General features: G+C 38.6%; 1 protein-coding gene across 5 annotated transcripts in view; it reads left to right on the forward strand.

The window, feature by feature from the left end:
* GIGYF2 (GRB10 interacting GYF protein 2) overlaps positions 1-12,470 on the forward strand; it is a 163,275-nt gene that overhangs the window by 90,991 nt on the left and 59,814 nt on the right. For 3 of the 5 annotated variants that reach the window (NR_103492.1, NM_001103146.3, NM_015575.4), the window contains 5 exons: positions 2,377-2,594; positions 2,687-2,849; positions 2,937-3,125; positions 6,427-6,623; positions 7,741-7,900. Coding sequence is in view for 4 of the 5 variants with exons in the window: in NM_001103146.3 (NP_001096616.1) it covers positions 2,377-2,594; positions 2,687-2,849; positions 2,937-3,125; positions 6,427-6,623; positions 7,741-7,900 (927 nt within the window). In the remaining variant the exon portion in view is untranslated. The remainder of the gene's footprint in view (positions 1-2,376; positions 2,595-2,686; positions 2,850-2,936; positions 3,126-6,426; positions 6,624-7,740; positions 7,901-12,470) is intronic. The other 2 variants (NM_001103147.2, NM_001103148.2) reach the window with 2 other exon arrangements.

Here is a 12,470-nt window from a genome sequence, read left to right on the forward strand (position 1 = left end):
GGTTTTATACCAACTCTTCATGGCTGCCTCTTGGGTGGGTTTTCTGTCATTAGTGGGCATTGTTTACATCACAAGGTCTAGACAATTTTCATTAGTCTGTGACCTGGGCCAGATGTTATAGTTCTCTAAAAGGCATCACTGCATTTTATGCTGAGCTTGTCCGTAGGCAGAGGGTTTGTAGACTATGTTCCCAACAAGCATTCAGTGAAGAATGGATAGGATCTGGGCTGAGAGAGAAAAGAAATTCCAGCTGGTCAAAAACAAACAAGGTGAATGTTTTGGAAGATGAACTGTGTTTTTTGAGCCCAAATGTCTGATGTTGATTCTATTAAAGGGAGTTTAACAAAGTACCTCCCACCCAACAACTTAGAATTTGGTTATATATTATCTTCTTCTCATCTTTTCTGAATCTTTCTTTCCCCCTAATATTTGACTTTCATATCATTTTTGTCATCAACTTGTGTATCTTCCAGAACTTTTAATCCATATACATATATATTTTTTCAGTCACACCTGTGGCTGAAATCCATATATTTTTAAAAGACAGTTTGGGGGATATAAAGATCCCCCAAATATAAAGTTTGGGTCTGAAAAAACAGTGTAAATGCATTTTAAAAAAGAATACGATTCACTTTTTAAACCCAGTATATTCAAAGTATAGCCTGATTATAGCAGTTTTCATATGTTAACTCTTAACGTTTGTTAGTTTATGGTTAATCTTTTATTAAGATTTGAGTAAAACTTTAAATTATTTTAACTGATTTTATGAAAATAGTATCCAACTTTAGTTTAGATGTAGGGTCTGTAAATCAGCAGTCAGCCTTAATAAGTACCTTGCATGTCTTACTTGCTATGTTTAGTTTCGTGAGTAAAATTTTATGAACTACTGATAAGATAACATTATGGGATATAAAATAGGGCTTCCGGCTGGATGTGCGTGGGGGTGGGAACATTAAGGACAGGGAGGCATCCAGTCTGGGAGCTGAACCTAGGAAAGTCAGTAAGAGGAGAAACATGAGCCAGGTACCTAGAAGGATAGATTCCTGTCATGATGTACATTTAGACTGTTAGAAATGAAAGCAGTACAGAGGGCTCTGGAATTCATTTGATCATGAAGACTCTTTTCACATAATGGCTCTAGGTTTCCACGTAAGCAGTCTGAGTATAAAATTCCTTAGTTCTCATAGGAAGTAGTAAATAGTGTTTTGTTGTTTTTATATGAAGGGATGGGAGTGTGGGACTAAGATTTCTTTTTTGTGAGTGGCTTATCAGATGCTACCTGTATTTGGCATTTTAACGTTTTGCCCTTTGTTTTCCAATTTGATTTTTAGATTGCTGGTTTTTGCAAAGTTTGTCTCAATAGTGAGAACATTTAACTCTGGCCACATTTCTTTTTCTTATCCCCCACAGAGAAAGCAGTCAAGGATGGAAAATTCTAATAGGTTAAAGCCTGCTTTTCTTTTTAAGACTCTTTTAGACTCAGGTCTGTCAGATTTTAGCAAGAGTTTCCCTTTCTTTTTTTTAGAAAAATATCTTAAGTAGGATCTCTTATTATTAGGCAATCTTTTCTTCTGTTGGGAAATGTAGATTTGGGAATGTCCGTAGGGGTATTATATGGATAGGGAGAATTAAGAGATGAGAAAGAAGGGAGAGGAGTAAGTATGTTATTGTGGAACAAGCAGCAGAGGGTGCAGAATTGGATTTTAGTTCTACTTTGCCATGTGCGAGTTACTTCTGCTGGCAAAGTTTTAGTTTCTTCTTAAACTATAAAATTAGGATAGTGAACTTCATAAAATCTCTGTGACAACTTTCAGCACTGTAATTTTGTGAATTTTTGGGGGAGGATCAGAATTACAAGTGGGAACCTGGCATTAATAAATAGTCATGATGAGTTTGATATAAGTCAACACAGGGAGCTGATTTTATCCACAAACAATGATATTTTCATGGGAAGAAAGAAAATGCTTTAAGATTGGGCAAAAGGAAGGTGTAAACTTCAGTATGGAAGGATGTCTAGTGCATTAAGTCTGGATGAGGAGTTGGCGGCTAATCAGTATTTTAATCAAGTACCTAGGACTTACTGAAAGTGCGTACTTGGAATACAGTGTCCTTTAAATGTACTGCATTTTAGATTTATCTTTTAAAGCTTTAGAGTATGTTGCCTGGCTCAGTACTTAAGTACTGTTGTCATCTCGTAATGGTACATATACTCTGAACTCTGAACTTCATTTAGTTGCCTAATGTTCTCTTTACTAGGTCAGTCCATTTGAGTTTGCGGTCACTTGTAGTTTTCTCCTTTATTTTCTATTCCTGATTTTCTTATTCAAATACTGTCATAAAACTTTTCTAAGGTTTGTGTCCTCCTTCTCATCTCAGATGGCCCTCGTTCTGCAGGCTGGCGGGAACACATGGAACGACGTCGGAGGTTTGAGTTTGATTTTCGAGATAGAGATGATGAACGGGGTTACCGAAGGGTTCGCTCTGGCAGTGGGAGCATAGATGATGACAGGGATAGCTTGCCCGAATGGTGCTTAGAGGATGCTGAAGAAGAAATGGGTACATTTGACTCATCTGGAGCATTCCTTTCTCTAAAAGTAAGAAACGTGTTTTAAATGTCATGACCAGCATTAACCTTATACCAAAGCCAAATCTGCTGTTGATCTTTGGTTTTATTCTCTTTCTACAGAAAGTACAGAAAGAGCCTATTCCAGAAGAGCAGGAGATGGACTTCCGGCCTGTGGACGAAGGGGAGGAGTGCTCTGACTCTGAGGGTAGCCATAATGAAGAGGCCAAAGAACCCGATAAGACAAATAAGAAAGAAGGAGAGAAAACAGATAGAGTAGGAGTTGGTAAGGCCTCTTCTTGCCCTTTGCCTTTTTTTTCCTCCATCAAACCAAAACTTTCGTAAGTTCAACTAAGATTACTTCGTGTTCCAGAAGCTAGTGAGGAAACTCCCCAGACCTCATCATCATCTGCTAGACCAGGTACTCCTTCAGACCATCAGTCTCAGGAAGCATCACAGTTTGAGAGGAAAGATGAACCAAAAACTGAGCAAACGGAAAAAGCTGAAGAGGAGACTCGGATGGAAAATAGTCTACCAGCCAAAGTGCCCAGCAGAGGGGATGGTATGTATTTGTGGGAATAGACAAGCTAAAATAGGATTCTGCTGAGGCCAGTGATCACTGATAAGTTAGGCTTCTGCTTATGCCTCCTAGAACTGCTTTTAGTGGGTGAATTATCGGAATAGATTATTTTACCAGTAAACCCAGTCAAACAGTGCTTCTCACGTATGTGTCCATCTCAGAATTACCAAAACAGAGTTCGAATCTGCAAGGGTGGAGCTCTGGAATCTCATGTCCTAAGGTGTTATGACATAGCCACCCTGTCATTACTGGTGAACTGGGTGTCATAGCCTTTGCATTAGTTTGATTCCCGTATTAGACAGTTACCTTCCTTTCATGTGTTGACTAATTATGTGCCCAGCTTAAATTACCAGATGACACACCAAAATGCCATTTTTCTAAAAGAGGACAAGTAGAGAACATATGTGAATCTGTGGCAGAATAAGCTTAAAACATATCTCTTTCAGTTGTTAGTGTATTGGTTTAAGTTGCTCATACACTTTATTAGGCAATATTAATGCTCATTTCCATGTTTCTTCTTGTACGTATTTAAAAATGTCATTGTAATGCCTGACGTTGAAGGGTTACTTGATTCATTTACCATAAAAATTGATACCCTTTAACATGGCATATGAGACACTGCACAATCTGGCATCTGCTTCCCTTTGTGCAGTTTCATTGCCAGCCTCTTTACTTCCCTCACGTTCTACTTACCAGCCTCAAAGCCTTTTAGGTCCTGAACTGTCTCCTGTTTTCTAGGATTCGTACCTTAGCACATCCTTTTCTCTGTTCTTGAAACTCTCTTCCACCCAAAGCCCCCAAACTAGGGTAGGTGTCTTCTTCGTTTCTTAAACAACCAGGCTTATTTCTAACATAGCATTATAATATCATAAAGATGTTTATTACCTTGTTTTCCCAGTAGACTAATATTTTGAGAGCTCAAACCCAGGAATTTTTCAATTTTTTAAATGTCTAGAACAAAGCTGATTATTTTTTTAAAGAGATGGGATTAACTGGGTGTGATGGCACGTGCTTGTAATCCCAGCTACTCGGGAAGCTGAAATGGGGGAGATCACTTGAGCCCAGGAGTTTGAGAACAGTGTGGACAACATAGCAATAGCAAGACCCCTGTCTCTAAAAACAAAACAACAACAAAAATGAGACAGGGCCTCACTATGTTGTTCAGGCTGGATCCGAACTCCTGGGCTCAAGTGATCCTCCTGCCCTTAGCTTCCTGGTTAGCTCAGCAAGTATTTGAATCTGTGCTCTACATAGCAGGCACTGTGAGACTGATATATCTTTGAGGCAGTTTGATTTGTAGTAGGATATGCCCCAGAACTACTTGTGGTACATTCTTTTGAATGTACGTGCTTGAAGCCTTATTCAGGAAATTCTTGGATCAAGTCTAGATATATATATTCTGAGAAGGCTTCATAGATGTACATTAAAGGTCGAAACTCCAGATTTATAGTGTGTAGAGGAGATAAAGTGTGCATATATCACTATTCTAGGGCAAAAAGTAAGATAAGGGTTCACTGTTGGCAGACTCTTGGGATGCTTCAGGAAGTAGGTGGTCTCTGAACACATCTTGGAATAATAAGTAGAATTTGGAGGTAAGTGTAGATAGATGAATTGGGAGAAGGCATTCCAGTACTAGGGAGCAGTGAAAGCTAAAGTGAAGAAGTGGGACTGATCCAGGCTTGGGCAGGAAATCAGCTCTTGTTTTTATTTGATGAAATATGAAGTGTGAAAAGGAGGATATTGGGAAACGTAGTTAGAACATGGATTTGACAGCAGGGTATAGACTATCTTGTGATGACAGTTTGGCTTCACTGTGACCGCTTAGACTCCTGAGCAGTCACTATGGGGTAGATAGTACACCTGTAAAGGGAAGTTGTGGCAGGTGAGATTTTAAAGTAGAAACTGTCAGGACTCAGTCATTGACTGGATATCAGGGTAAAGAAGAGGGAAGAGCCAAAGAGGATTATAAGAGGATTATGGTGCCATTCACACGAAAAGAAGAGGGAAGAGCCAAAGAGCCTGAGAGGATTATGGTGCCATTCACCATAGAGGAGCACACTGGGGAGAGGAGAGAGAAATTCAGTTTTGAACACTGGTTCTGAGGTGTTGACGAGAAGAAGTTAAGTGGAGATGGCGAGAGAGCAGTTGTGAATGAGGGACTGTAGCTAGATGGGAGTAGTTTAGGGTTAGAGAGAGAATGAAAATTGAAAAGATTGCATATACTTAGTAGGGGTAAGAAGAAAAGAACTTTGAGTAATTCCCATTTTTAAAGGGTAGAAGAAGAGGAACCAGAGAAAAATCCTCAGAGGTAAAAGTAGAGACAGGAGAGTAGAGTGCAGGGAAACTAAGGAATGGGGATGTTTTAGCTTAGAATTGAGTTGATAATGTCAGATGCTACTAAGAGATTGGATGAGGAAGACTAGGAAAAGTCATTGTATTTGGCAACTTTGTGTCACTGCTTATCTTTGAGAGAGGAGCTTTACTGGAAAGGTGAGAGTAGAAGTCCCCTTATAGCAGGTGTGAGTAAAGTGGAGACAGCATGTATAGACTATCCTTTTAAAAAGTATGGCAAAGAATGAGTCAGTGAGAGGAGCAGGAATTTGGAGAAGCTATCTGTAATTGAACAAACAAGATTTCAAAGGGGAAACTGCGATTATACCTAATTACTTCCATCCCCCTTTTCCTTCTTAAGAACCTGCACACTGAGAGGTTAGAAATAGGAACAAAGACAGAACCTCTTTTATAATTTGTATTCCTATTGAGAAGAACATCCTGCACTGTACAGGTAGACTCCAAGTGCTTCTAATTATCCTACAACATGTAATATATTGAATTATATTAATCATGACTTGAAACAGGTACTTACTGAGCATAATCATTGATATTTTCAGTAAAGGTTTTGATGAGAGATGACATATCTTTCAGAAGATTTAGGGTGCATTGTTAACTTTTACAATTGGAGACATGTTATGAAGAAAGGATTAGACTGATTGTTTCTAAGAGGTCAACCTGTAACTGGGTAGATGCTCTGGTGACACAGGTAAGCCCTGGAGAAGCACCTTTTAGATACCTTTTAACTCTTACCTTTTGTCATTCTGTGTAGGTAATTTTGTCACTCTAGGAAGGAATATTACGTTTCTCCATAGAAGTAGCTTCACTGTTCATGACAGGGCTCACGTTTTCTGTTTGGCCCATTTAGCAGGCTGTGCGACTTGATAATGTAGTTAGCCTTCACAGAAGTCTCTGTATTTCAAAGGATTTTCATCTGATTTTTTCCCCCTAGAAATGGTTGCTGATGTCCAGCAGCCCCTGTCGCAGATTCCTTCAGATACAGCCTCTCCTCTTCTCATACTTCCACCTCCTGTTCCCAATCCTAGTCCTACTCTCCGGCCAGTTGAAACACCAGTTGTAGGTGCTCCTGGTATGGGCAGTGTTTCCACAGAACCTGATGATGAAGAAGGTCTCAAACATTTGGAGCAGGTAAAAATCCTGTTAATTCTTTTTGTCTCCTCTTAAACTGCCGTAAGAATTAGCAGGCATTGCATGAATATTCAAACATAAAACTTTTGTCACTAGATTTTAAGTACTGGAAAAACTGGATATTTAGTGTTTATTTGTACAAGTCATTGTCTTTCAAATCATTTCATGCTTATAAGTTTCTGCTATGTAGTAGTCATTATGTCAGGTTATTTTTTGCTCTTAGGTTGCCCTTAGCTATTTACTTTTCTTTTTTCTTTTTGGACATTAATGGAATGCCAAAAATGGTGAATACAAGCAGCTGTGGATGGTCACTGTATCTTTTGTATTTTTTGCTTCAAGTATAACAGGGAAAATAGTTAAACTTTCAGAGCATTAACATCTTATTCATGTCTCTAAATTTCCCCAAGATTGTGTGTACCATTGTTATATGTAAAGTAAGTGATAGCTTGCTTTTCTACGAAAGAATTTCTCTTCCCTTTGGGGTGGGATGGTTAGTGGCAGGAAATGCTGAAGAAAGGAAAAAGCGAGATAGTGTCTTAGTAAAACTTGTAAAACGTTTCATTTATAATTGTATTAATTGAGCCTTTTGTTCTATTAACATTCTTTTTACAGGTTTAGTTTATACCATTTAGAGTTGACCAACAGCTTATTAGTTTAAAAAGTACTCTTAGCCAGGCAAGGAGGTGCATGTCCTGTAGTCCTAGCTGCTTGGGGAGGCTGAGGTAGGAGGATCGCTTGAACCCAGGAGTTCAAGAACAGTCTGGATAACGTGATGAGATCTCATCTCTATTAAAAACAAACAAAGTACTCTTACTAGTGTTGATTTGAACCCTGGGCTTTGATCCAGAGCAGTGTTTGTTTTAATCTTAGTTGATTTGATTAGTAATTTTCAGACCTTGAACAAGACTTGGCATCTCTGAGCTTTAGCATCCCCCTCTGTAAAATGGGGATAGTACCTGTTTCATGGCATTGTTGGGAGAAGTTACCTGCTATGTTCTTTGCATAGTGACTTTCATAGATCAAGTAGTCCAAAAAAAAGGGGCAGGCACTGTTATTATGTGTACAAGTACTAATTTAGGATCATTTGTTTCCTTGATTTTTGTTTTTCTGTTACTAGCAAGCTGAGAAAATGGTGGCTTATCTCCAAGACAGTGCACTAGATGATGAAAGATTGGCATCAAAACTGCAAGAGCACAGAGCTAAAGGAGTGTCGATTCCATTGATGCATGAAGCAATGCAGAAGTGGTATTACAAAGATCCTCAGGGAGAAATTCAAGGCAAGTTGTTCCTTTTTCCTTTAAATACTGAAGTGTGTGCCATTACCTCCAGAATCTCTAAGAAGGGATTTGTTTAATTTAAATTATAGTAGAAAAAGAAGTCAACAAGCACACACGCGCGCACACACGCAGACTAGAAGTGTTTCTGATTTCAGATGTTTTTAGATTTCTTCCCAATTTTGGAATAATTGCATTGTACATACCAGTTGAGCATCCCTAATCTGAAAATCCAAATTCCATAATGCTCTATTGAATGTTTCCTTTGTGTGATGCTCAAAAAGTTTCAGATTTTAGAGCATTTTGGATTTCAGATTTTTGTATTAGAGATAGTCAACCTATGTAAAAATAATTCGAATACAGCCTGGCGTGGCTCACGCCTGTAATCCCAGCACTTTGGGAAGCCGAGGTGGGCGAATCACCTGAGGTCAGGAGTTCAAGACCAGCCTGGCCAACATAGTGAAACTCCATCTCTACTAAAAATACAAAATTAGCTCTGGACATGGTGGCAGGTGCCTGTAATCCCAGCTACTCGGGAGGGTGAGGCAGGAGAATCACTTGAACCCAGGAGGCAGAGGCTGCAGTGACCCAAGATCATGCCACTGCACTGCAGCCTGGGTGACAGAGTGAGATTCTGTCTAAAAAAAAAATTGAATACAAGGCAGAAATGTGATGACAAATATGACAGGGATAATATTTAAGCAAATGTTTAAGACTTTTTAAAACTTAAGCAAAACGTTTAAGACGCTCAGCTCTGGCATCTCAGTTGGTTAAGTAGGCAGGTAGCCTACTCACCTCTGTGTTTCCGTTTCCCTGACTCTGAAAAGGTGATGGCAGCAGTAGTGTTGGAGGACCTTGACTGTTTTTTTTTTTCAAGTGGAGTTGATAAAAATGGTAGAGAACTACTAAAAATGTCAGATAAAATATAGTACTGTATTACAAATGAATCCCTTAGAAGATTTGTGTGGTGTGTAAGTTCGATTAGAATGGGCACAGAATGCTATCTATAAAGGATATTTGTTGATTCTTCATTTCTGCTTTTGAAATCTATCCTGTTACCCTGAAATTGGTTGGTCACTTCATATTAGTGTAATTTTAGTGATAGCATTTTACTGTGTGCCCACCCTGTGAGCTCTCTCCAATGAATTAACTCCCCTTGCACTCTCAATCCCCTTACCCTGCCTATTCTCCTTCACAGCATTTATTACTACCTGGCATTTTACATGTTTGTTCATTGTTTACACTCTGGTAAGATACACGAGAGCAGGGCTTGTGTGTGTGTGTGTGTGTGTGTGTGTGTGTGTGTGTTTTAACCAAATTTATTTTGGGATAATCATAGCTATATATGTAATTATAAGGAATAATACAGAGAGATTCCATATACCCTTTATACAGCTTCCCCTGGTGGTAACCTCTTGCAGAACTATAGTACAGTAACACAAGTGGGACATTGACATTTGTATGGTCAAGATTCAGAACATGGCTGATTGTGGTGGCTCATGCCTGTAATCCCAGCATTTGGAAGGCCAGGGTGGGTAGACCACTTGAGGCCAGGAGTTCAAGACCAGACTGGCCAACATGGTGAAACCCCATCTCTACTAAAAATACGAAAATTAGCTGGATGTGGTGGCATGTGCCTGTAGTCCCAGCTACTTAGGTGGCTGAGGCATGAGAATCACTTGAACCCAGGAGGCGGAGGTTGCTGTGAGCCGAGATTGTGCCACTGTACTTTAATCTGTGTGACAGAGTGAGACTGTGCCTCCAAAAAAAAAAAAAAAAAAAAAAAAAAGATTCAGAACATTTCCATCTCCACAGAGATTCTTCAGGTTGCTCTTTTATAGCCACCTGAGCTTCCCTTCTACCCCAACTCCTTTGTTAACCTCTAGCAATGACTAATCTGTTCTCCAGCTCTGCATTTTGTCATTGCAAGAATGGAATGGAATCACACTTTTGGAGATTGGTTCTATTCACTCAGCATAATTCTCTGGAGATTAATCCAGGTTGTTGCATATATCAGTAGCTTGTGTCTTTTTATTCCTGAGTAGTATTGTGTGATATGAATGTTATCAAAGTTTGTTTAACCATTCACCCATTGAAGGACATCTGGGTTGTTAAAGTTTTGGGGCTATAATGAATAAAGCTGCTATAAACATTTATGGACATGTTTTTGAGGGAACATAAGTGTTCATTCCTCTGGGCTAAATGCCCAGGAGTGCATTTGCTGAGTTGTATGGTAGTTCTATGCTTAGTTTTAAAAGAAACTGCCAAACTGTTTCCCAGAGTGGCTATACCATTTCATATGCCCACCAGCAATGTATGAGCAATCCAGTTTCTCCACATCCTTATCAGCATTTGATGTTTTTGCTATTTTTCTGTTTTAACCATTCTGAGAGGTGTGTAGTGATACCTCACTGGGGTTTTAAATTTACATTACATTTCCCTAATGGCTAATGATGTTGAACATCTTTGCATGTTCTTACTGGCCATCTATTTGTCCTCTTCATTCAAGTTTTTCTTCATGTTTCATGTCTTTTTTGTTCATGTCCTAATTGGATTGTTTGCTTATTTTACGTTTTTTTTTTAATTCATTTTAAATATTGTTAAAATACACTTAAAATTTACCATCTTAGCCATTTTTAAATATATGGTTCAGTGGTATTAAATACTTTTTCATCTTCCCAAATTGGAACTGTATACATTAAACAATAGTTCCTCATTTCCTCCAGTCCCTGGCAATTACCATTGCCAGGGACTGGAGGAAATCTGTTTCTATGAATTTTCTATCTGTTTCTATGAATTTTACTATTCCGAGCACCTCATGTAAGTGGAATCGTGCAGTATTTGTCTTTTGACTGGCTTATTTCACTTAGCATAATGTCCTCAAGGTTTGTTCATGTTGTAGCATGTGTCAAAATTTCCTTCCTTTTTAAGACTGAATAATATTCCCCTGTAGGTGTATAACACATTTTGCTTATCCATTTCATCTATTGATGGACACTTGGATTGTTTTCATGTTATAGTTATTGTGAATAATGTTGCTATGGGCCAGGTGTGGTGGTTCACGCCTGTAATTCTGACCCTTTGGGAGGCTGAGGTGGGAGGATTGCTTGAGCCCAGGAGTTTGAGACCAGCGTGGGAAACATGGAGAGACCTTGTCTCTATAAAAAAAAAAATAAAAAATTAGCTGGGTGTGGGATGGTGTGTGCCTGTAGTCCCAACTACTCAGGAGACTGAGGCAGGAGGATCACTTGAGCCCAGGAGTTGGAAGCTGCAGTGAGCTATGATAGCACCACTGCACTCCAGCCTGGGTGACACAGCAAGACCCTGTCTTTAAAATAATAATAATAATAATAATAATAATAATAATACTGCTTTGAACATGAAGGTACAACTATCTCTTTGAGACCCTGTTTTCAATCCTTTTGGGTATATACCAAGAAGCAGAATTGCTTGATCATGTGGTATTATATTTTTAATTTTTTGAGGAACTACCATACTATTTTCCACAGTGACTATACCATTTTACATTCTCAAAAACAGTCCACAAGGGTTTTAATTTCACCAAATTCTCTCCAACACTTTTTTAATAGTAGCCATCCTAATGGGTGTGAGGTGGTATTTCATTGCAGTTTTCATTTGCATTTCCCTAATCATAAGGAATGTTAAGCATCTTTTCATGTGCTTATTAGCCATTTGTATACCTTCTTTGGTGAAATGTCTATTCAAGTCCTTTGCCTTTTTTTTTTTAATTGGGTTGTTAATTTTTTTGTTGCTGAGTTTTAGTTCTCTATATATTCTGGATGCTAATCCCTTATAAGATATATGATTTGTAAATATTTTCTCCCATTCTTTGGGTTGCCTTTTTACTCTGCTGATAATGTCTTGTCATGCACTTTTTTTTTTTTAATTTTCAAGAAGTCCAATTTGTCTATTTTTGCTTTGTTGCCTATGCCTTTGGTGTCATATCCTAGAAATCATTATTGTATCCAATGTTATATAAAGCATTTGCCCTGTGTTTTCTTCTGAGAGTTTTACAGATTTAGGTCATGCACTTAGATCTTTGATCCATTTTGAGTTTTTGAGTATGGTGTTAGGCAAGAATCCAATTTCATTCTTTTGCATGTGGATATCCAATTTTCCAAATACCGTTTGTTAAAATGACTGTCCTTTTTCCATCGAATAGTCTTGGCATCCTTTTCAAAATATTTGACCATGTACTCTGGTTCATTTTGGGGCCCTCTGTTCTATTTTATTGTTCTATATGTCTGTCTTTATATTGGCATTACACTGTTTTGATTACTCTATCTTTGCAATAAATTTTGAAATCAGGAAATGTGAGTCCTCCAGCTTTGTTTTTCTTTTCTTTTTTTCTTTTTTTTTTTTTAAGACCGGGTCTTGCTCTGTTGCCCAGGCTGGAGTGCAGTGGTATGATAATGGCTCACTGTAGCCTCAAACTCCTGGGCTCCAGTGATCCCACCCTAGCCTCCTTAGAACAAGCACACACCACCATACTCAGCTAATTATTTTTCTTTTTTAGAGATGAGGTTTCAGCTGACACACGCTGGCTCATGCC

The sequence above is a fragment of the Homo sapiens genome, chromosome 2, assembly GCF_000001405.40.
Source record: "Homo sapiens chromosome 2, GRCh38.p14 Primary Assembly".
Lineage (NCBI taxonomy): Eukaryota > Metazoa > Chordata > Mammalia > Primates > Hominidae > Homo > Homo sapiens.